The following is a 24,669-nucleotide window of genomic DNA, read 5'->3' as shown; positions in this document are numbered from 1 at the left end:
GAAAATGATATGGCATGTCTGAACACCCAGACCAGAGATGAGTGAGATATGGTATACAAGGATTTCAATGTAGCCTAGTAGAGAGCCAGGGAGCAGAGGTGGGGGAATCCAATCATGGACTTCCTTATCAACCATAGTTAGGAATTTGGACTTTGTTCTAACAACAAAAAGAAAGTTTCTGCAGGCGTTTTAAGCAAAAGGATGACACTGTCAGACTTGTGTTTTGGAAAATCACTTAGGCTGCTGTTGGAAAATAGATTGGTGGAGACAAGACCAAAGACAAAGTAAATCAATTAGAAAGCCATGGCTGTGTCCCAAGGAAGAGGGTAGAGTGGCTGTGAGAATAAAAAGAGGTGGATGAATTTTTAAAAATGTTTGAAACTAAATCAAGCAAGAATTGGTCACGAACTACATATATATAATCGGCTTTCAGGTTTCTGATTTAGAACACTGGGTAGGTAACCACACCATTTACTACCCTACCAAGAGCAAAACATTGTTTGAGAGAGAGATTTAAAAAGGGAGGATGAGTTCAGTTTGGGACATGGTAGTTTGAGGTGCAAGACAAATATCCAAAGAGAGATATTTGGGAGGGAGATACAGGCAAGGTCTAGAGTTCAGAGAGATCTTGATTTAGATGAAGACGAGGAAGTCTTGAGTAGCTAGGTGGTGATTGTCAAGATCCCCCATGGGAATTCTGTAAACTGAGATGTGGTCTTGAAGAACCCTGTGACTAGCAATGTTCAATATTCCCTGGGAGGGGGAAAGAAGCCAATGCAGGGAAGGAACAAAACAGCCGAAAAGGCAGACAGAAAGTGAGGAGTCTGTAAAGAAAAGGGAGAGTATAAAAAGTGGAGAGAGAGGTAAATTCAGAGGCCTTTTTAGTTTTTGTTTTTAATTTAAGGGACCCTTGAGTCAAACAGAGAGCCTTTGAAGATTTGGAAAATTGAGAGGCTCAGTTCTTTATTCAATTCCCACAGAGAAGGTAGGAAGGTATAGGACCTAAAGTGGAAAGATTGGCCATGGAAGGGAAAATAGGTATGACTTTTTTTTGCAATACAAGTAAAAGAGAAAAATGATAAATGTGGATATGTGCAGGTCTACAGATTTTAAAAGTTTCCATTTGATGGCCTTCTAAGGTCATCTGTTCAGAGTAAGGGAGTTGGTTGCAAGATCAAACGTCCAGTGAAGTTTCAAATAAACAACAAAGAATTTTTCACTGGGATGTCCTCATGCTAAAGAATTACTCATTGTTTATATGAAATTCAAATTTAACTAGGCTGGACATCCTGTATGTTTTTGCTAAGTCCAGCAATGCTAAACATAGTAAGATAGATAAGCATTGGTGAAAGCCCTGTCGAGGTTGGTAACTAAGGGTTTATGGAAGCCACAGACTGCAGGAAGTATAATTTACCTCTGCAGTACATCACTCAAATGCGGATACAACCAAGCAAGGCAGCTGAACGTGAATCTAGGGGAGTGGTATCATAAAACATTTAGATTTTCTGTTTTCCCAGTTTCGTATGTGTATCTTCAGATGAACCTGAAATTTAATAACTAAGAAAAATTTGCATTATAAATAAGATTTTTGAGTAAAATTATATTTTAGTGAGTAGCTTTGCTCTCAACATTTATTTAGAGAAAAAAAAATTACACTTCCCTTTACCTTAATCTTTCAGACAATTTAGTCATTGGGAAGCCTGAGTTTATAGAGTCACCCATTGTCTAGGTCACTTGCCCATTGGCTCTCTGCAAACCTTTGGAACAGTAGCACACGTTATCATCTATCACATCCTTGAACATAGTATTTCCTGGGGCAGCCTCATTCTTTTCAGAGTCTCTAATTGTGAGAAAGTTCTTTGTCACATTTAATATTTAATATCCAATATTTAATCAGTCAGACTCATATTTTCTACCTGTTGGTCCTAGATGTACAGTCACTCAGTAATAGATTTTTTTTCAGCTTTTGTTACTTATTCTGTTACTTCTCCCTATTATTTTTTCTGTACAAAAATGAGACTGACATTCTGTTGTCAAAGTCTGTTCTACAAGTAAAAGATAAGCTGTTCAGTCTTCAATATTCAGGTGAGAAAGATTACACTAACCAACCTAATGAAGCATTCATTTCTAAGAGGTAACAGACTCTTAAGAAAGTTCAGATTTATTCTCTTATGTTTTTGCCTTTGTTTTGCTAAGTCTTGTCAGAACAAAGACCAACCATTCTCCTGTTGATTTTAATAAAATCTGAGTTGGTAGGAAATATAGGTGTAAACTTTGCTGATAACCTGCCAAAGCTGAGTTACTTGGGACTACTCAACATACAGTCAGGAGGTCTTGCTTCCAACTTTTCTCTCTACTTGGAGTGGTCAGACTTGAAAAAGGTAAAATGGCTCTCTATTTATAGGATCATAAAATGAGAAAAATGATATGTGCTTTGCAAATGAATACATTACTAACATAATTCAGTGTTTTCAAACTAATTTGTTTCCTTGATATGAATAATTTTAATCGCTGCAGTTGTCAGTAAATATTCAGATATACCCTATGGTACTGTGCTTTACAGAGTAAGCATTTCTCCAACAAAGAGAAGTAAAATGTTTATAACACCACATTGTATATTATAAATGTTTAGTATTATTTTATACAGCATTTTAGCTCAGTAATTTGTATTTTGAATGGATAAAAATGAATTAAGACACTGACGCACACACACACCTTATAAAAAATAATTTTAAAAAATTGTAGAAATGGCATGTTATCTTTTCTTTATATATTTTAAAGATATGCCTTGTTCTTAGCAGTTTTTTTTTTCTGATTGTTTTCAGTTTGGGAGCTAATCTTTCCAGGGATGAAATGATAGTATTATCAATAATACTGATTATCTTGACTGGCAAATTATCTTACATGACTGAAACCAATTGGATTGATAAATTACTTTCTAATTTAGCTAAACAGTCACTTCAATTTTTAGAAATAGCATGTATTCTGAAGGCCAATTATTTAACAAGTTGTGCCTTTAGATAGAAACAAAGAAAAACAGACATTTCCTTGCTTAAAAAAAAATTAAAGTAGATTTGAATATCAACCAGGAATTTTCTAATCTCAGAAAATTTCAAGCAAAAATAGATAGAAGTATGATGCTCATTCAGACATGGATCAATATTTACGTGTTATGAGGCTATATTGTGCTATATTTATCTTTTCCTTGGTAATTTCTAGTTTGTTGAATATCCAATCATATAGAAGTGCAAAATATTGAAGAGGAAGGATTATGAATTAGATAGAGTTTATCTACTTCTTAATTTAAGAACAATATGTGTCCAGAATTGCAGTTATACTGAACTATGTGCTTCCTTTAATGAATTTATATCTGTTTAGCAATATGAAATTCCTCCTCTGTCTTAAAAAAAAAAAAGCAACACTTTCTTTCTTTTCTCACACATACAATTCATTTTTAAAACTATTGTGTGTGCATTAAATTTAGATTCCCTATATGTTTATACAAACAGAAAATAAACATTGTGTGTATAAACATGAATACTGGGTACAGTGTTTGTTGCTACCAAATAAGGATATATAGCTGAGAATTTATATATAGCTTGAAGATTTTCTGCATTTCTAATTACCACAGTTAGGTTCTCATCTTCCCTATAACCATTGCAGAGTAGTTGTATATTTATTTCAAATCTTCTGCAGTTGGGATTTAAATAGGCAAATTTAAATACTAGTATCTAATTTGGTTCGGAAATTAAAATGCCCCTGCAGCAACCTCAACGAGTTTTCTTTTGCTCTTAGCACTCTGACAGCCCTAAACACAGCACAGTATCTTCCTTCCCACTTCTGTCAGATACAAGGACTCCAGGAGCGTGTTAGTTCTCCTTCATTCACTTTCAGGTTTATGCAGAACTGAAGATGCCATAATTCAGAAGTGTCTGTGTTTGGCGACGGATTTTAGTATCGACATTAAACTGAGAACTTCCTTCTTTCCCTGAAGGTTACCCAACAAGTGCTAATCAAAACCTCTCCATGTTCTGCCTGATTTTTACCAGCTTGTTCTTATTTGGACCCTCTGAGGCCCACTTTAACAATTCTGATGTCTTTATTTTAGAAACTCTTTTACCTAAATTAGATCATGACTCTCTGGGGGTGTAACCAAATTAAAATGTTTTGCCACACAGTAAGAGGGTCACAATGGAGGAAAAAAAGGAATAAGGAAAAAATAATCATAACCAGAATGAAATAGAAGCCATATAGACTGTCAAAATGCTCCACACATCAGAGGACTCTTTGTTCCAATCAGCATTCCACAGTCTCAAAACTCCACCAGTTAGAGCTAGAAAAGCCCTGAGACATTGTCTCACCAAGTGGTTCCCAACCTAGGCTTCATGTTACACTCACCTGGGAAAATTTTATGTTTTTAATGCTGCCAGGATTCCATCCAGATTGCTTGGAAGTGGCGCTTCAGCATGGGTACATTATTAGAAGCATGCCAGATAATTTAATGAGCAACCGAAAGCTGAGAACCACTGATTTTTAGCCTAATCTGAGGTGAACAAATTGATGCCCAGAAGATATATGTGTGTGTGTGTAGTGTGTGTGTATATAAAATATGTGTGTATAAATTTATATATGTATATAAATTTATATATGTGTGTATATAAATAGATATATGTGTGTGCGTATAAATACAGCAAAAATATATATGGAACAGGAGGTCTACTTGAGTGTATCTCTTATAATTTAGACACACCAGAAAAGAAGCCTGGGGGCTAGCAACTGGTACAAATTTATTTTCCTTCAGCTCCTGAAGCCATCTAAAATATAGGACATTGGTCCTCAAACTTGACACACTTACTGATGGAAATAGAAAATACAGTAGCTTTCAACAGCCTTCATCTTGGAATGACCTCAAATTTCTCATTGGTATGGAAAATTGCAATTCATTTGCAAATGACCCTTTGCGGGGGAAGCCCTAAATCCATGGTTCTCTAAGTAGAGTCCCTGGACTAGTAGCATCAAAATCACCTCGGAAGTTTTTAAACATGCAAATTATGAGGCCCCAATCCAGACCTATGGAATCAGAAACGCTGGGAGTGGGACCTAGCCATCTAGGTTTTAACTGACCCTCCATGCGAGTCTGATGCATGGTAAAGTTTGGAAACCACTGAAGTAGAGAATACAGATAATAAAACAATAAATTGCAATAGAGTGTGTTCACTGTGCATGGGGATAGGTATAGGGCTTTAGGGAAAAGGAACCTAACAAATCTGTGAAAGGACAGCAAAAACACAAAGCAAAATAAAGGAGGTGAGCATTTGTATTTGCTGAGCTTCTGTTAAAAAAATTAAATATGCACATACGTGTTTGCTTGTGTGTATATTGTGTGTGTGTGTGTGTATGTGTGTTTTGATCAAGGACAGACTGTATATATGTGTAGGCATAAGCTAATGTGTATGTTTTTGTCTTTGTTCTTAATTTTAAATGTTTAAAAAGTAAAATAAAACATATATATATATATAATTTTTTTGAGATGGAGTCTCACTCTGTCGCCCAGGCTGGAGTGCAGTGGCACAGTCTTGGCTCACTGCAACCTCCACCTCCTGGGTTCAAGTGATTCTCCCTGTCTCAGCCTCCCAAGTAGCTGGGATTACAGGCGCCCGCCACCACGCCCAGCTAATTTCTTGTATTTGTAGTAGAGACGGGGTTTCGTCATGTTGGCCAGGCTGGCTTGAACTCCTGACCTTAGGCGATCCGCCTGCCTTGGCCTCCCAAAGTGCTGGGATTACAGGCATGAGTCACCACGCCCAGCCAAAAATTTTTTAAATAGAAAAAGCTTATAAAATAAGAATAGAAAGAAAGTAAATCTTTTAAACAGCCGAACAATTTATTTCTGTTTTAAGCTGTTACGACAAAAGAGTCGAAAAGTTTAAAAACATTAAAAAGTTTATAAAATAAAAGTTAAAGTAAGCTAAGGTGAACTTATTACTGAAAGAAGAAAAATATTTTTTATAAATTGAGTGTATCCAAGTGTACAGTATTTATAAAGTCTAAAGTAGTGTATAGTAAGGTCCTAGGCCTTCACGTTTACTCACCCATCACTCACTGACTCATCCAGAACAACTTCCAGTTCTGTAAGCTCCATTCATGGTAAGTGCACTATACAGGTGTACTGCTTTTTAGACATATCATTACTGTACCTTTTCTATGTTTAGTTGCTCAAATACTTATCGTTGTGTTACAACTGTCCACAGTATTCAGTACAGTAACATGTTGTACAGGTTTGTAGCTTGGGACCAACAGGCTCTACCATACAGACTAGGTGTGGAGTAGGCTACACCATCAGGCTTGTGTATGTTCACTCTGTGATGTTCACACAATGATGGAATTTCTAACAAGGCATTTCTCAGAACGTATCCCTGTCATTAAGGGACGCATGGCGTGACTGTACTTCATAATGAAAAATTTTGACCAAGAAGGATAAAGGTCAAAAGATCCTGAAAGGACAAGGAGACAAAATGAAGGACAGGCATTGCAAAAGGCTCAACAGACAGTGATGAGTGTTGAGAAAAGTCAAACAAACCTACAAATGCAGGGATCTGAAAATGCAAATGATGCGGTTGAAGACACCCCCTTTCAATGGCAGATGACAGGGTAAAGTAGTTTTATCTTCTGGGAAAGTGCAGCAGAATCTCACATACCTAAATAGAATGTCTGAATACACACACTTGCATAGAGTATAGATGTATACCATAGCTGACATGAAACATGTTTTATGTACTTAAAATTCAGATAATACAATATATTCCTAGAATATTGGTGTATCTGAAGGAGGAGGGGAGCAGACAATACTTTTCTGTCCTTGCAATGACTAAGTGTATTGGGATATAAAATTAATCATAGGGTTGGCACCTGCAAGTTTATATTTCTGTAAAAATATGAAGGACAGTATGTAGAAGTCTTTTGCTTACTATGGAAACAAAATGCTACAAAAGTTGCTCCTGAAGCTGGACAGGAAGGGAACTAGACACAACTCAGTATCTACTGATAACTCATGGCATGTTTCCAAATTGTTCAGATATATAAATCTATCAAATTTATTCATGAATCTATTAATTAACTAAAGAATGAGAAAAAAAGTGAAGTAGAATTAGAAAAATATAATCTTTGTATTTTAATATTTTTATTGATTATTACAGTAGTTTGTAGTTACTAGAAATAAAATTTAAAAATAGAGAAAACATTTTAATGTAAACAACTGAATAATCACTATTTAGATTTTCATGTTTCCTTATAACCTTTTTCCATGAATGTAATTTTTAAATTAAGATTTTACTGTGTTTTGAGTTATATCTCTCAATGACAGAGTTTAAACTTCATACACAGCTTTTGGAGAATGGAAGGTATCAGAAAAAAGTCTTAGTGGTTTTGCCTAACTAGAAATTCCATTCTGTCAGGATTCTGAATAAATAAGCTTTTGTAATTTTATTTTTGTATGGCATTTTCATTTTGTTCCAGAAAATTATATTTTGTCCTATTTGAGAGGTAAATAATTGGGAAAGGGCCAGGCGTGGTGGTTCATGCCTCTAATACCAGCACTTTGGAAGGCCGAGGTGGGCAGATCACCTGAGGTCAGGAGTTTGAGACCAGCCTGGCCAACATGGCGAAACCGCGTCTCTCCAAAAAAAATGCAAAAATTAGTCGGGCGTGGTAGTACATGCCTGTAATCCCAGCTACTCTGGAAACTGAGACAGGAGAATCCTTTGAACCCAGGAGGCAGAGATTGCAGTGAGCCGAGATTGCACCACTGCACTCCAGCCTAGGCGACAGAGCAAGACTCCGTCTCAAATAATAATAATAATAATAATTGGGGTAATTAAATGATGTAAGAATCATTCTGGATTCCCTACACACTGGGAAAATGTAAATTAGAAAGAGGAAGGAACCACATTTTATTAGATTGGTGCAAAAGTAATGGCAAAACTACAATTCTTTTTGCAGCAACCTAACAAATTGTATGTTTGTAATTTTACTGCTATTTTGAAAAATACCTTTTAAATATGATTATTCATTGAACTATCTCAAACCCAACAGAGTAGCAGCTCTGAGAAAGTTTGGACTACTTCCTTATCCTTTTCAAGACTACTGTCTCCATACTGAGTAACTAAGTCAAAAATCAAATTATAAGCATTATTGTTTTCAAGTGGTAATTGTGGGGACAAACAAATGCTCAGAGGTTCTGTAAATAGATGATTCTTTTTTTTTTTTTTTTTTTTTTTTTTGAGACAGCCTCACACTGTCGCCCAGGCTGGAGTGCAGTGGTACAATCTCGGCTCACTGTAACCTCTGCCTCCCGAGTTCAAGCGATTCTCCCGCCTCAGCTTCCCAAACAACTGGGATTACAGGCACATGCCACCATGCCTGGCTAATTTTTGTATTTTTAGTAGAGACAGGGTTTCACAATGTTGGCCAGGCTGGTCTTAATCTCCTGACCTTGTGATCTGCCTGCCTCGGCTTCCCAAAGTGCTGAGATTACAGGTGTGAGCCATCGGCGCCCAGCCAATAGATGACTCTTGAGCGTCTATCCTCCAGGAGCTTAATTGAAAGCTTAAAGTCAGCTTGGTCCATCCTTTGCTCTCTTCCTCCATAACTCATTCCCTTTCCTTTTCCCAAACTGATGCCTAAATTCTACCAACTCTAAGTTTATAAAATATCTGTTCTCTTTTTCCATTTCATTCTCACACTATGACACTAGCTTTTGTTCTCATTGTTATTGACTTTGACTATTGTGATAGGCTCTCCCTGTTCTCCCTTTTCTTTCTTATCTAATATGCCAAATTAATCCTTCTAATAATCTTACTTTTTTTATGGGCAAATAGTTTATTTATCTTTATTGTGGTTAAAAAACCCTTAACAGGAGATTTACCTTTTTAATAAATTGAAGTGTGGAGTACAGTATTTACTGTTAACTATAGGCACAGTGTTGTACAGCAGATCTCTAGAACTGAATCATCATCTTGCATAATCAAAAATTACTCCCACTGAATAACAACTTCCCATTTTCCCCTCTCCCCAGCCTTGGCAGCCACTATTCTACTCCCTGTTTCTTTGTGTTTGACTATTTTGTACATTTCATATAAGTGATATTATGTGATATTTATCCTTCTGTGATTGGTTTATTTCATTTGGCATAATTTCCTCAAATTTCATCAATGAACAGCCAATCCTGTAGCAAATGGCAGTATTTCCTTCTTTATTTAAGGCTGAATAATATTTCATTGTGTATATATACCACATTTTTTGGAGACAGGGTCTTACTGTGTTGCCCAGGATGGAGTGCAGTGGCATGATCATAGCTCACTGCAACTGCAATCTCTCGGGCTTAGGCAATCTTCCTGCCTCAGCCTCCCAAGTAGCTGGGACTACAGGCACATGACACCACACTCCGCTAATTTTTTTTTTATTTTATTTTTAGTGAAGACAGGGTCTCACTGTGTTACCCAGGCGGGTCTCAAACTGAGCTCAAGCAGTCCTTCTGCCTTGGCCTCCCAAAGTGCTGAGTTTACAGGCATGAGCCACTCACTGGCTTATACCATATTTTCTTTCTCTATTGATAAGTTGATGGACATTTAGGTTGTTTCCGTAGCTTCACTCTCAAACTGAGCTCAAGCAGTCCTCCCGCCTTGGCCTCCCAAAGTGCTGAGTTTACAGGCATGAGCCACTCGCTGGCTTATACCATATTTTCTTTCTCTATTGATAAGTTGATGGACATTTAGGTTGTTTCCGTAGCTTCACTCTTGTCAATAATGCTGCAATGAACATGGGAGTTCAGATACCTATCTGAGGTCCTGATTTCAATTCTTCTGGATACTTAGACGTGGGATTGCTCGCTCATATGGTATTTCTATTTTTAATTCTTTGAAAAACCTCCACACTGTTTTCCATAGCAGCTGCACCGTTTTTATTCCTAACAGCGTACAAGGGCTCCAACTTCTTCACATCCTCAGGAGCATTTATCTTGTTTGGGTTTGGGTGTGTGTGTGTGTGTGTGTGTGTGTGTTTGTGTTTTGATAATAGCCATTCTGATGGGTGCGAGGTGACATTTCACTGTGACTCTGATTTGCATTTCCCTGATGATTAGTGATTTTGAACACCTTTCTATATAGCTGTTGACCATTTGTATGTCTTCTTTGGAGAAATGTCTTTTTAGCTCCTTTGCTCATTTTTTAATGTAATCTTAATTTTTTATTTAAATTATGTAGTGGGTTCCTACTCAACTAAATACAATTAAAGTTAGTTTGTGTGTGTGTTTGTGTGTGTGTGTGTATTGGCACTGGTTGAGGGAAATACCAGGCTCTGTGTAATCTTTATTTTTCAGCATGATATCTCCCTACTAAAGTAATTAATTGTATTATTATATCATATAATAATAATGTGGTATTATTGTATATACTAAATAAATATACTAAATATATACTAAATATTGTATTTAGTTGGAGTAAGAACTTTCATGCTCTTTTCATACTTGGCCACATAATGTTACCAAATTACCCAGTCAATCCTACTTCTAAGCATTGACTGAAAACATCTTCTATGCCTAGTATATTCTACCAACATCCTTCTCCATCTGCCATAATTCTACCCCAGCTTCAATTCCAATTCCCATGCCACATCTTCCATTAAACTTTCTACCCTCCCCCGGTCCCCAATCTGAGATGATCTTTCACTCCTTTGCATACAACAGCACTTGACATGGCACACATCCCATTTTAAATGTATCCTGTCTAATTTTGCAGTTGTCTGATGCATAAACTGTCAATATAAACTTCTTAAAGGAAAAAGACTGAGACTAATTCATCTTTATATTTACCATAGGACCTTATAAAACCTTGCATATATACATAAGCAACAAATTACTTGTTGACTGAATGAATGAATGAATGAGTGAATAAATGAATAAAAGTTGATCATTCTTCACTCAATGTGGTTGGAACTGCTGTAAAACATCAGTATTTTGTACTTACTTGCCTTTGTAGAAGAATTCATATGCAAAGGCGTATTTCTAATTCAATGCATTTTTGGTTATCTGTAAATAAAGTGCCTGCTTTGTCAATTATCCATGGCAACTTGAGACTTTCTTTGATGTAATGCTCAGCCAGATAAGATTAATGAGTGGACAAAATTGGAAGGAAGTCATGGTTGAGGATGAGCTTAGAAAAATTCAAACACCTAGCCATCACAAAAAAAAGATCAGAAAATCAGTTTGAATTAAGAATTTCTGCCACATGCAGAAATGAAAAAGGCTAAAAGGTTATAACTGCATAATTTTTCTGATAGCTGTTATTATGTATATACAAAAGCCTTCTCCTGTATCTGACCATATATATTTCTTTGATTATAGCTACATATTAAAGCCAAATGAGTTTTTATTATCTGTCCCTTTGTTTTGCCTTTTTACTTCAATGTATGCAGCTAACAAAAATTTAGCCTAATAACTGTAAGCACATTTGCTTAGAAATATCTCTAGTTTAATTTTGTCAGTCTTACAAATGCACCCAAAAAGACCTCAAAGCTGATATAAAATGAATATTTATGACATATGCAAATGTAGAGAAAATCATAACCTTCGGATATTCGTTCAATATATATTATCTATTTACTTATCCACAAGTCATCAAAATTGTAAGGTAGGATCTGGAAAGATAAATGGCACTGGGGAACTCATTTCCTTTATGCAGAAATACATGGTCCTCTGAGCTAACCAATGAGTATAGAGAGGGCAGTAAAGCGATGGTTAACAGGGAAGGGATTATCCTAAAAGATGCAATCCAGCTTTTGATTTCTCCTGATTTGGAGGATTTGGACAGTCTGAGCTGATCTTAAGATTGCTAGATATACTGACTGGGACTCCTAGGGGCTACACACATCAATAGAGGGAATGGGGGAATCTTAATGTGTTTCAAGAGCCCATGGAGACCTCTCAGATAGTCTTCAAAGAGGCTCCGGCCCACTATGAGACTGAACCACTAGGCTAGATGATAATAGAATCTCAGTGGGAATCCTCAGTCCCAAGCAGAATTTAAAGTCCTAGTATCAATGGCATCGAACCATCTCCAGAGGGGATGAGACACCCAAGAGAAGCAATTCCAATAGAATCTTCCCAATCCATTGCAGAATTCAATGTCTGTGAATTCAAATAAGACTTGGCCTCCTCTGCTTTCATTATTGACCAAGCAAGGTGATCATTATCTTCTTCTCCACTGTTTTCCATCAGTGTGATGTCTGGTGGTGAAAAAAAAAAAAATGTGGCTGATTACTTGCGACTCTTGGATCAGCTCCAGGAATAGAGTTAGGAAAGCCAGGGACATTGCCATGTCATTGTCTTTGTTGTTGATCATTCCCTACAGCTCTGTGCAGATGGTCTGAGGTTTTGACCAAGTCAGTGGTGACAAATTAGGGCATGAAATTAAACTCAGGAAGTCATGCTATGTAGCAGCTTTTTTGAGTTGAAAATATTCCTTTGAGAAAACAAAACACTTTTAAAAAATCACATATGTATGAAGAACTGTCACTCGTCTGCACATGTAAAAAAGAGTACATATTCAGAATGACAAAACTTATGATTACAAAAATGGTATTATCTGTTGGTAAAATATTTTTATTCTTATGTCATGATTGTATTTTGAACTTGAGTTTTCAAGGTATTTTAAATCTCAGGCTGAATGATGGCTTAGGATATTTATCTTCGTTTCTGTTAAGGAAACCTTAGAAATCTGGCTTATAATGCCTTTTTGTTTACAGTCCAAAATTGCTTGCTGTCTCCATGTCAATAAGAGTAGCTGCAAACAGCTGTTAGTCTGAATGATATTAACTACTGTCCATCTTGTTCTCTATTTATGAAGTATGTTACTTCTCCTTTCCACTGCAGATCAGTTTGCTTGACTTCCTCTGCTGCTCAGATAGGGTATAAAATTGTTACACCTCAATTCAGTTCCTCAAATGCAAATTAAAGAGTTCATGGTATATAAAAGGATCACAATTTCTCACTTTCACTGTAAGTGAATTTTCCCGAAACATAAACAAAACACTGGTCATTGGTAACAACTTCTGAGAATTGCCATATGATCTGACTAAGCTGGCTTTTTTTGGTCTGTGCTCTGTAAATGTTTAAATAGAAGCTTAATGAAAGCCAGTCCATTATGGTCTAGTGCTTTGCCATCTTTAGCCTGACTTCTTAACATTCTCATAACTTAAATTACTCTGAATATCAATACAAATCCACAAAAAGATCCTGCCCCCATAAAATTATTAAACATGAATTTATTCAGCTCATAATTCCAGAACTTGTGTAAATGAAACAGTTAACAAACAGCAGAGACTGTATCTGTGTGGTATAGGCTTTAAGAGCAATGACAGCTCAAAAAATAGGAGAGAGCATTGTAGGGAAGGAAAAACTAGGGGCTGTTTAATTAGGGATGTGAGTCTGAAATTTAGATGAGTCTTAATTTAGATGAGGCATTATTAAAAGAGGGAAGGTGTCAAAGGTATGAAGAACATACTTGAGGAAATTCTCAAAGACAGACTTTAATATAGAGAATGCAATACACTCAGGAAATAATCATCTGACCATTAATTTTAATAAATACTACTTTTAGTAGACTGTTATGCAGTAAAATGGGACAATAGTGGTCATAGACTGTTAATAAGGATTAAATTAAGTGATCAATTAAGTGACAATAATTAATTAATAATCATATGAAATAATTGATTATTAATAATTATTGTCACTTAATTGATCACTTACTTTAATTCTTCCTAATAGTCTATCACCACTATTCTCCCATTTTACTGATGATGAACTTGAAACACAGAGATTAAGTAATTTAACACGTATAGATGGGCGGAACTACAAATATAATGCTGATTGTATTTTCAATAGCCACACCAGTGTTTCCCAACATTTTTTACAACACGCAGAACATGATAACATTTGTGAGTCAACCAGGGTGAATGGACAACACACCCAAGACCTCAAAACTGCCCTCTAAGCTAACAGGAATCAAGATCTTGGCACAGCAATAACTTATTTGTGGCAAAACCCACAGCTTATTAGCTGTTAAACTCTGTACGATGCCACTGTGGTTGTATGTCAGAGATTCGTGGAAAATATGCCTGAATAGGTAAGGTAAACTCAAATTGTACAAGCTCATATGAAAAGAAGGTGAAGCAATTTGGGTTTATATGATTGGTGATAGAGTTCTTGAAGAGTGGCAGTATATTAAGAGGATCTAAATAACTGCATATCTTAAGAATGATTTCCTGATGGAAGGAACACAGTCTTAAAGATACTTTGTGTATCTGTTGACAATTCAAAACCACTAGAGAAATTGCTGTGGGGATGAAAAGGAAGAAGATATGAAAGACACTGAGATGTCTGATTTTCTTTGCATATAGCAAAAACCAAGAAACTGTGCAGGAATGAAATGACTATTGAGTGAAAGAGTTTAATAATTTCCAGCGTTGCATAACACTATGGCCCTCACAAAGATTTTTTTTTTTTTTTTAGTGATGAGTTTAAAAAAAAACTTATGAAGAAAAAAATATGATTCTACCAGTGCCAGGAAACCTTGGCAAAGGATGGGGGCAGGGAGCACTAAAGACCATTTTAAGATATGTAAGACCCAAAAAAGACCCCTACTTTTCTTAAAACTCAAACATTAAAGCAAGAGATGTGAAGCACACACACACACACACACACACACCAAAATCTAAAATTTAATTTGCTGCATAGCGTTATGTGGTCTGCTATTCACAGATAGCTAGAAATAATGTAAAAGTAAGAGTTTATTCAGTCATAAATGGTAAAAGTCTCAACATATGCTGACTGGATTGCAAGCAGACTGGTAAAATACTAAAATGCCAGTAAAATCTGTGAATTCAGCTTGTATGTAGCTGTCACTAGGTGACAGATACCAATGTGGATCACCAATAATTTTATAGAATCATTCAGTTCCCAAGCCCCAACTTCCCATCAGGTAAAAATGTACCAAAATTACGAATATTTTGCCATGCAATTTTATTACATTATTGAAATCAATTTCTCTACACAATTATTCGGCTGGAAAGGCATATTTATGTTTTCATTGCTGTTTCCATTTATAATTCAGCGATTGTGATTTGTGTGAAGTATATCAATTTAGGAATTATTTAATTCTTTCTTTAATGGCACGATCACATTATTTTTTATTTCTAGTAGATATTTGAAGTTGATATTTAGCTTTTAAATTTATTTAGAACAATCTCAACATGATTTGAAAAGACTCTTGAGGTCCAACTTGAGCCAGATAATTTGGAAAAATTTCAAAATGCTAAAAATATATAAAAATAAATCATGTGAAATGGGAATGAAAAATGAACCAAGTTTTTGATTTTCCCTATGGGAAATAACCTTAATTTTATGAGAAAATGATGTTGTTAGTGGTGCTTCAGGTAGTAGTTTTAGCAGAAATTTTTAAAAAGGACTTTATGAGACATAAGAAGCTGGACGATAGTAAACTGGTCAGGTCACTTTGAACTCAGTAACCAGCAAGGTCTCTGTTTAAAGCAGTTTATGAATAAATTACTTTTTCAATGTCAATGAAAAAATCAGAGCTGCAAAATCTTTTTGGTGCCTGTAGAGCATTTGACACAATCTTTTTTTAGTGATGAATTTATCTGATAGCATTACCTGCAGTTTTTTTTTTTTTTTTCAAATAAGACATTTTGTTCATGGAAGCAACAGGAATTAATGCCAGGCCAAGTGGGGTTTTCGTTTTTATTGTGTGTTTCTCTGTGTACTTTTACTTCAGTTTTATTGTTAATTGCAGAGGTTAGAGTGATTTATTTTGTAAAATTTGTTTTTATTATTGTCAATAATATTCATACATTGTCTTTAACTCAGAATCACGTGTGTGCTTTAAGACAGAGATCTATGACCATTTTCTGAAAGGGTCAGATTGTAAATATTGAATTGAATCATTTACCAGATAGTAAATGTTTTAGTTTCTGCAGCCAGATGGTCTCTGCAGCAACTACTCAACTCTGCTGTTACTCTGCAAACACAGCTCTAAACAATAGATAAACCAGTGGGTGAGACTGTGTTCCCATAAGACTTTATTGATTAAAAATATTCAGTGAACAGAATTGGGTGTTAGTTTACTGACCCCCGGTTGAAGAGATTTTCTTTTTGTGGAGGCAGGAGATGGATGTCCAAGGAGTTAAGAAATATCAAACTCTTATTGTCTATAATTTATTAGATTTTAGTGGCTCCAAAAATAAATATTACAACTTAATTAGGTGTTAGAGAAGCCTCTATTTACTTTTCCTGGCTGCTTTTGTAATAAGTCATATTTTGTTGACTGAATTCAATTCTATTCAATTTACATCTACTGAGCATCTATGCTATGACACTAAACTGGCAACAAGCATGACACAAAGTGTAACAAGTCCAGTTTCTGAGGCCTAGGTTTGGAGAGAAGCTATTTCAGGTTTTTATATTAAAAATAGGCACTCAGATAATTTTTAATTTTCCCTTAACATATTGGCCTTTCATATGTGGTGCTATACCCAATGTGGCTGCTTCCTAAGTCAGTTCAGGGGGAAGGGGACATTAATACGGACCTTCCCTGTGTTCTCATCCCAGCACTTCCACCCCGGGACTTTAGATGGCAGTGTTCCTTTTTGCTCACTTTATTTTTACTTAAGAAATTCGTTCAAAATCCTGGTGTAGTCTGCCATACTGTTTTACTTTGAGGTCTCTGGCAATGTTGGGTTTCAGTTCCTGTATCTTTCTGCACTATCTGAGTGAGCAGCCATTTCATTTCCCCTGGGGAGAGAGCAGATATATCTGTATCTATATATACTTTATACACTTTAAAGGAAAGAACAGTAGCAGTGATTCATACATTCTTCCAGCCTGCCATTGTGACTCAGCTCAAAAAAAGCAATTATGTAGATTTTTTTAAAAAGTTTAAATGTTACATTGCACATTTATGTTGCATTTTGTAAAATTTTGTTTTAGATTCAGGAGCTTCCTGTGAAGGTTTGTTACATGGGTGTATTGCATGCTGCTGAGGTTTGGGCTTCTAAAGTTCCCATCACCTAAGTAGTGAACAAAGGACTTCATAGGTAGTTTTTCAAACTTTACTTCCCACCACCCTCCCCCGCTTCAACAATCTCCAGTGTTTATTTCCATCTTTGTGTCCCTCTGTACATAATATTTAGCTCCTACTTATAAGTGAGAATATGCAGTATTTGTTTTTCTGCTTCTGTGTTAATTCACTTAGGATAAGGGCCTCCAGCTGTATCCATGTTGCTGCAAGAGACATGATTTCATTCTTTTTATGGCTGCATAGTATTCCATGGCGTAAATGTGCCACATTTTCTTTATGCAGTCCACCACTGATGGGCATCTGGATTGGTTCTATGTCTTTGCCATGGTGAATAGTGCTGCAGTAAACATATGAGTGTATATATTTAACAGATTTAAAGCAACATTTCTAATGAAATTTATTAGCCATGTCTAACTGCTGGTTACATCATTCAGATTATTAAAGGGCTGAGATTTGAATTCACCAGCTAAAGTTATGGGAGACTTGTCTCATCCAAAGAGAAAAATAAATTGCTTTTTAAAATCTGAATATGAGATAAAATGATTTCAGACCATAAATCTGTGAAACTAGAATTCATAGTAGTTCAGAAACAAATTCAACTCAATTCATTGGTAGATGTATTTATTAGCATTTTTAAACAATAGGATTTTCTGTACTCAAATTTTATGTAACCAGTGATTTTTGTGATTTTTTTTAGACAATGATGATTATTGACAGTTTAGACCATTTGTTGTAACCAAATAGGTGTGCTTCTTCCTAAGAACATATCTGTAATATTTTCAAGCTAAGACTTCTTGTATTAACTTTATTCCTTCATTATACTTTAAAATTTTTGAGAATTTTTCCACATTGGTAAGATACCATATTTAATAAATTACATGCCATGGTCTGATATTATCAAAGTAACACAATAAAGTTTACCAAATGATAATATTCCTTAGAATACTTAAAACTCATAACTTTTATATATGAAAGCCCATAGATAGTATCCTGTTAAATAGATTAAATTGGGGACATAGCACGATAGTGGTGCTATTAAAATTGACTTCCATGTATGAATTAAATGACAGTGCATTGTTGATGTGCTGGTGTGTAAGGCACAACTTATTACATGATTTGAGTCCAGCAATGACCATAAAAGTAAAAGTCAATTAATATAGGTTGAGTATTCCTTTTCCAAAATGGCTGGTGCTAGAAGTGTTTCCAATTTCAATTTTGGGAGGATTTTGGAATATTTGCACATACATAATGAGATATTTTGGGTAGGACTAGAAGTGTGTTGGATTGGGGACTTTTTTTTTGATTTGGCAATATTTGCACATACATAACGAGATATCCTGGAGATTCAACCCAGTCTAAACACAGAATTCATTTATGTTTCATATACGCTTTGTACACATAGCCTGAAGGTAATTTTACTTTTCCCTTCAAGGTAGTGAATAAACTTTGGGTTGTGCACCTATGTTTTGACTAAATGGAATTTTCTACTCACAGCATTATGTTGGTGCTCAAAAAGTTTTGGATTTTGGAGCATTTCAGATTTAGGATTTTCAGGTTAGGAATGCTCAATCCGTATTGATCATAGATTTGGTTCTAGCATCAAAGTTGGAGTAAAATGTCCATGTGTTCTAAATCTTAGGTTGCGGTTTATAATAGCCCTAGTATAAGCAAGGGCAGAAATAACACAGGCGAGAAATGTTCTCTGGGAGATCTCATACTGGCTGCTGTGTCTTTCTGCAGAATCTGTCACTGCGAAGGGGATGAAGAGAGCCCCCTCATCACACCCTGTCGCTGCACTGGGACACTGCGCTTTGTCCACCAGTCCTGCCTCCACCAGTGGATAAAGAGCTCAGATACACGCTGCTGTGAGCTCTGCAAGTATGACTTCATAATGGAGACCAAGCTCAAACCCCTCCGGAAGGTACAGTATCCATAGGAATTGGTTTGGGAGGGACCATTTGCAAAGCAGACTTGTTTTAGAAATCTATTTCCTTTGCCAATACGATTCTCCTAATATGCTAATATCCATTAAGGGTATGTGTCTTGTGTTGAGCTCAGTGCACAAAATTTATCTAAGTGTTTGCAGATAATCCTTCCTTTCTTCTATGTTTTATATTCTAGAGCTTCTGATTGATATATTACTTTCAATGCTTTTTTAAAAGTCAGTGTGTGCACGTAATAGATATAAACATATATATGTATATGCATGCAAAATGCACTTGTAATTCAATGTAATTGAATTGATGAGAACTATGATAGCATTGTGCTTACGGAAGCCAGTTCTCAAGAAGGTTACATGATACATTGCCTTAAACAACATCAACTCATCAAATTTCTTACAAGTTATTTATTAGGTAATAGAAGAGAATGATTTCTTCTATAAAGTGTGTACTATTTATGTTTGCTTTTATTTGGGAATTGGTTTAATGGCACATGTGTAATTAGAGTAGGTAGAAATAAAAAGTACTATTTTCCATATTGTGCATCAGGCTGTAAGAGAGAGGTAAGTGTATTTTGTATCTGTAATGTTTGTCTTCAAATTCCTCATTTATGTTATATTTTTCTGAAGAAGAAAGGTAAGACTGTGAGTCAGATACAAAGTTAGTGTCTCACTCAAAGCCACCGAAGAACAGCTTGTAAACAATACAAACAAGGACAATGAACTTATACAATTCATGTTTGATAGCTGGACTTCTGGATTTTAGCATGTAACTTATTTATCTTTTTGCCTAACTGTAGCCTTACATATATGGCTGCCTCAGTTTCCAAGGGAGAGTATGAAGACCACAGTTTAAATAATGAATCATCCCAGAGTTGCTTTTTTTATTTAAATTGAATGCAAAGCAAAAGTTATAGGACATTGCCTGGAAAGAAACACAACGAGTTCCAGAATGAGCAGAGTTGAAATGCAAATAAGAATATTCTAGCACATATCTGATTGCTGGCTGACCATTGCAATTCTTCATTAATTCTGTAAATTGTGGAGGGAGAGAATCACATTCCTTGCTTTTGTGGTAGCCTCAATTTTTAAAATCTGCAAATGGTTTATAGCTATCAAAAATAATGCATAAAATTCCTTTAGGATATGTGTGGTCTTTTTTTAACAATGGGGTAACCTGAGTGCTGCAGGGTAACCCTGTTTTTCTAGGGCCCAGAGGTGTCAATGCCAGAAATAGAAATGGACCCTGATTCCTTGTCCTTTGCTTCATCCGCTGGACAGATGCTGAGCATTGTCTGCAGTAGTTAAATGGCACATTGTACTCCACGATTTTCCAAATGTTTTTTCTTAGTTCTCAGGGAACTACAAATTATTTCATAGAATCTATATATTTCTTCATTTTTTTTCTCATGCTAAATTTACATAAAATTTTCATTTCAACTTTGTCAAATACAGTATTTTAATTTGAGGGCCACGATCTAGGATAATAACATATTCTAATTTTCTCTTCTTTACCATATCTATCACCACTACTCATTTTTGTTTAATTAAAAAACATGCTGCTGAGAAGAAACTTGAAAAGTCTTTTTATTCCACCGCCAGCTTTTGTAGTATCTAGTATACCCTGTCAATACAACTTTCATCCTTTGTTAATATTCCATTCTCAATAATTTACAACTCTCTTAGGAAATCTTATTTTTTTCCTCAACAAACACACTTATAAACCAGAGAAAGGCAGCAAATATGTCTATCTTTTTAAATATTCATGATAATGGACCAGGCACGGTGGCTTACACCTGGAATCTCAGCACTTTGGGAGGCTGAGGCAGGCGTATCCCTTGAGCCCAGGAGTTTGAGACCAACCTGGGCAACAAAGTGAAATCTTGTCTCTACAAAAAAGTTAAAAAAAAAAAATTAACCTGGCATGGTAGCACAAACCTGTAGTTCCAGCTACTCAAGAGGCTGAGGAAGGAGGATCCCTTGAGCCTAGGATTTCAAGGTTCCAGTGAGCTTTGATTGCACCACTGCAGTCAAGCCTGAGTGACAGAGCCATACTTTGTCTCCAAAAAAAAAAAAAACACACAAAAAACAAAAATTCATGATAATGAATGTGTCACAGCAACCTAGTGGGCACCTATGTACCTACTATCTGTTGATGAATATCCTAGTTTCTTCTAAAAATATCTTCTTTGATTAATTTGAATAAATTGAATACTTTTATTGATTATTAATATATCAATATATTAAGCATTGATGAAGGACAGCATTTCTACATTCTTTATTTTTAATAGCACTTATATATGTATAGGGGTGTTGGAATCTGATCCAGAGGTTGCTTCCCCAGCACCCACAGATGTGTTTTATTTGAGCCATGGGGCTTAAAATTATAATTTTAGTTACCAACATTTCAACATGTAATTATTTCATGTGCAACTCCATCCATGTGAATTTGTTTGAAAAATCACAGTATCTGGCTTTACTGGAACCACATTCCCATATGACAACAACCAGTGGAGCCAAGTGGTATCTAGCCACTTTAAAAAGGGACTTGCTTTCAAATTCGTCACAGATCTCAGCCTTCCCTCTCTTTCTGATCCTGAGTCCTTGTGCCATCTCCACTCATCTGTGTACCTCTGTGGCACTTGTGTAGGGATCTGAATCTTCAACTTCTTTTCTAACACATGAGTCCTAGACATGAGGAACGTGCATTCAGTTCCTCCCTCCATGATGCATAGGCTTTAAAAACCTAGAGAAAGTATTCCAACGTCTCACTTTCTCCTTTAAAAATATGAGGCACTGGAATAATACTTAAGAGGCAGTAATCATAATGATGACCTTCTCAGTCATCAACCTGAGTCATCACATTCTGAGGTGACACAAACTATACAGATATGAGGCATTTTAAAACTGTTCTAGTTGGGCTATTTTGATGGCACTAAGATTCATCAATAGTTTTTTTTTTGTAGTTTTTAAACAGTTATAGAGAATGCTAGCTATAGCATTTGGTTAGAATATATTTGAAGTACATCCAATTAATTGCCTTCAACTTGGTAATTCCATTACAGTTTATAACATTCTAAAGAACAACCCACATGAAACAATTAATTTAGCTAATGATGTTGAATTTCTCCAATTAGCCAATGCAGGCAGGAGATTCTGTTTAGATGAAATGATTTCTTAAAGTAGTAAGGTATAATTCTGCATAGAAAGGTGCAAATCTTCATAGACAAACCTTGGGGCTTAATGGTTAGTTTCTAAAGATATCAGCAAAATGTTACCTCATTAATTGCAACTCTTACTCCACCAAAATCTAGTTAGTAAATTCATCAAGGTATCTTAATGTTTCCAGAAGACAATCTTTAAAGTGAATATAAAATCAAGCGCTTATCCAAGGAAAAGCAATTTTCATCATCTTTAAGTCAGTAGCCCAGCTACCTTTGGAATACTTAATAAAAGTCTCATTAATCTGCTAAGTTAACCAAGGTCAGAAATAATTCTGAGGGCCCAGAAAAGTCAAAATGTCACACATAAAGAAAGCATAGTGACTACTCAGTGCAATTGGAAGTGCACTCAAGATCAACTAGGAAGCATAAACTAATTTCCTATTCTGAAGCTGAAGAATTGCATGGAGTTCAGATCTGAGTTACTCCTGACTGGGCGAAACCAACTGTTAAATATGAAACCAAGTTTATGAGGATAGCAAATACTACTGACAACTATCTATCTCCCCTAATATATTTTTTCTGTAATACTCTATATAGAAACTATTTGACAAATGTACAATACAGGATATGTAACTCCATGCATCTTTTTGTCCCTTGCCTCATTTGTACAAATAAAATAAGATAATGAATAAATTATCTTTGCTTTAGTAATGCTTATGTTGAGCCATATGCACCATTTTTGTAGATCAAAAATAGTGAAAATTGGAAAGTTCATAGAATATAAGTTCTGTGTGAATTAACTGTCAAATGAAAAAGAGTAGTCATCTTGGTATTTCTACTTTTCCACTATAATTATTTACAGTGCTGTAGTTGACATGCCTATTTTTAGAAATGAAGAACTGTCTTTAACAAACACTGTTAATTCCTTCCTTGCCTTAATTTGATGTAGCATTCATCTTTCAAAAGAGCCAAGTGCTGGTACAAGTTACCATAGCAGGTTAACTGCCCCAAACTTGTTATTGATTATTTGATGATCCGGATGTCTTATCATTAATAGCCTTAAAATTGAAGAGAAAAAGGGATAAGGCCAGATTCCTAGCTAGAATCTTCCTGCACCCTTTGAATGATGTTGCCTAATGACAAAAATAAATTCAAAATGCATAATTTTCTTACCATTAAGGGGAATTTGCTATTTCACTGATATGACCACCACATACTGAATTCCTTCTATGGGCCAAATATTTAGCATATATCATTTAACTAATTCAATTTTCATTACAATCCTATTTTATGTAGGCATATCAAGACCCTTTTGCAGAGGAGAAAAATAAAATATCATATCAAAATCATTCAATATCACACAACTCAAAGCTCCCTGATTCTAAAGCATGTGCTCATTGCACTGTGCCACTCTACCGCCAAATAGCTGAGACATTCTCTCTTTAAACATCAAAACTTTAATACTGGCCGGGCGCGGTGGCTCACGCCTGTAATCCCAGCACTTTGGGAGGCCGAGGCGGGTGGATCATGAGGTCAGGAGATCGAGACCATCCTGGCTAACAAGGTGAAACCCCGTCTCTACTAAAAATACAAAAAATTAGCCGGGCGCGGTGGCGGGCGCCTGTAGTCCCAGCTACTCGGGAGGCTGAGGCAGGAGAATGGCGTGAACCCGGGAAGCGGAGCTTGCAGTGAGCCGAGATTGCGCCACTGCAGTCCGCAGTCCGACCTGGGCGACAGAGCGAGACTCCGTCTCAAAAAAAAAAAAAAACTTTAATACTTACTTAAATCATTCCTGATGGAAATCTTTTAAAACAAGTCATTCTAAAACAAAAATTTTTCTGAAGTCTTCTTTCTTAAACAATAATATTTTACCCAATATATTTTCCTAATACCTCAAGTATATCATTATATGCACACCAATTATTTTTCAGGCTGAAAACATTAACAACTTCTATATCTTGAAATACATATAAGGCTGTTTATCTCCATTCTGCTTTCTACATCCTGCTATGTTTTAAAAGCCTTTCTATCTGGGTTTGTTGTTTCTCTTTGTTCTCTGTTCTCAGAGCATCAGCTGTCATTTCTGTTTCTCCAATAGTCCTTATTCAACATTTAATGTAGCTACTCCTTTTCTGCTTTAAACAACATCAACACCAAAAGAGTTAGGGCTTATAAAAATGTGTCTACAGGGCCAGGTGCGGTGGCTCACACCTGTAATCCCAGCACTTTGGGAGGCCGAGGCGGGCGGATCACGAGGTCAGGAGACCGAGACCAGCCTGGCCACCATGGTGAAACCCCATCTTTACTAAAAATACAAAAAATTACCTGGGTGTGGTGGTGAGTGGCTGTAATCCCAGCTACTTGGGAGGCTGAGGCAGGAAAATTGGTTGAACCTGGGAGGTGGAGGTTGCAGTGAGCC

General features: G+C 36.0%; 1 protein-coding gene across 7 annotated transcripts in view; it reads left to right on the top strand.

Moving 5' to 3' along the window:
• The window catches only part of MARCHF1 (membrane associated ring-CH-type finger 1), an 859,722-nt gene that overhangs the window by 779,203 nt on the left and 55,850 nt on the right, over window positions 1-24,669 (top strand). For all 7 annotated transcript variants that reach the window (XM_017008336.2, XM_017008335.2, NM_001166373.2 and 4 more), the window contains one exon: window positions 18,888-19,068. In XM_017008336.2, the coding sequence (XP_016863825.1) occupies window positions 18,888-19,068 (181 nt within the window). The remainder of the gene's footprint in view (window positions 1-18,887; window positions 19,069-24,669) is intronic.

This window comes from Homo sapiens, chromosome 4 (genome assembly GCF_000001405.40).
Source record: "Homo sapiens chromosome 4, GRCh38.p14 Primary Assembly".
Classification (NCBI taxonomy): Eukaryota; Metazoa; Chordata; class Mammalia; order Primates; family Hominidae; genus Homo; species Homo sapiens.
Note: the sequence above shows the minus strand (reverse complement) of the source record. Positions and strands in the feature narration are given on the sequence as shown.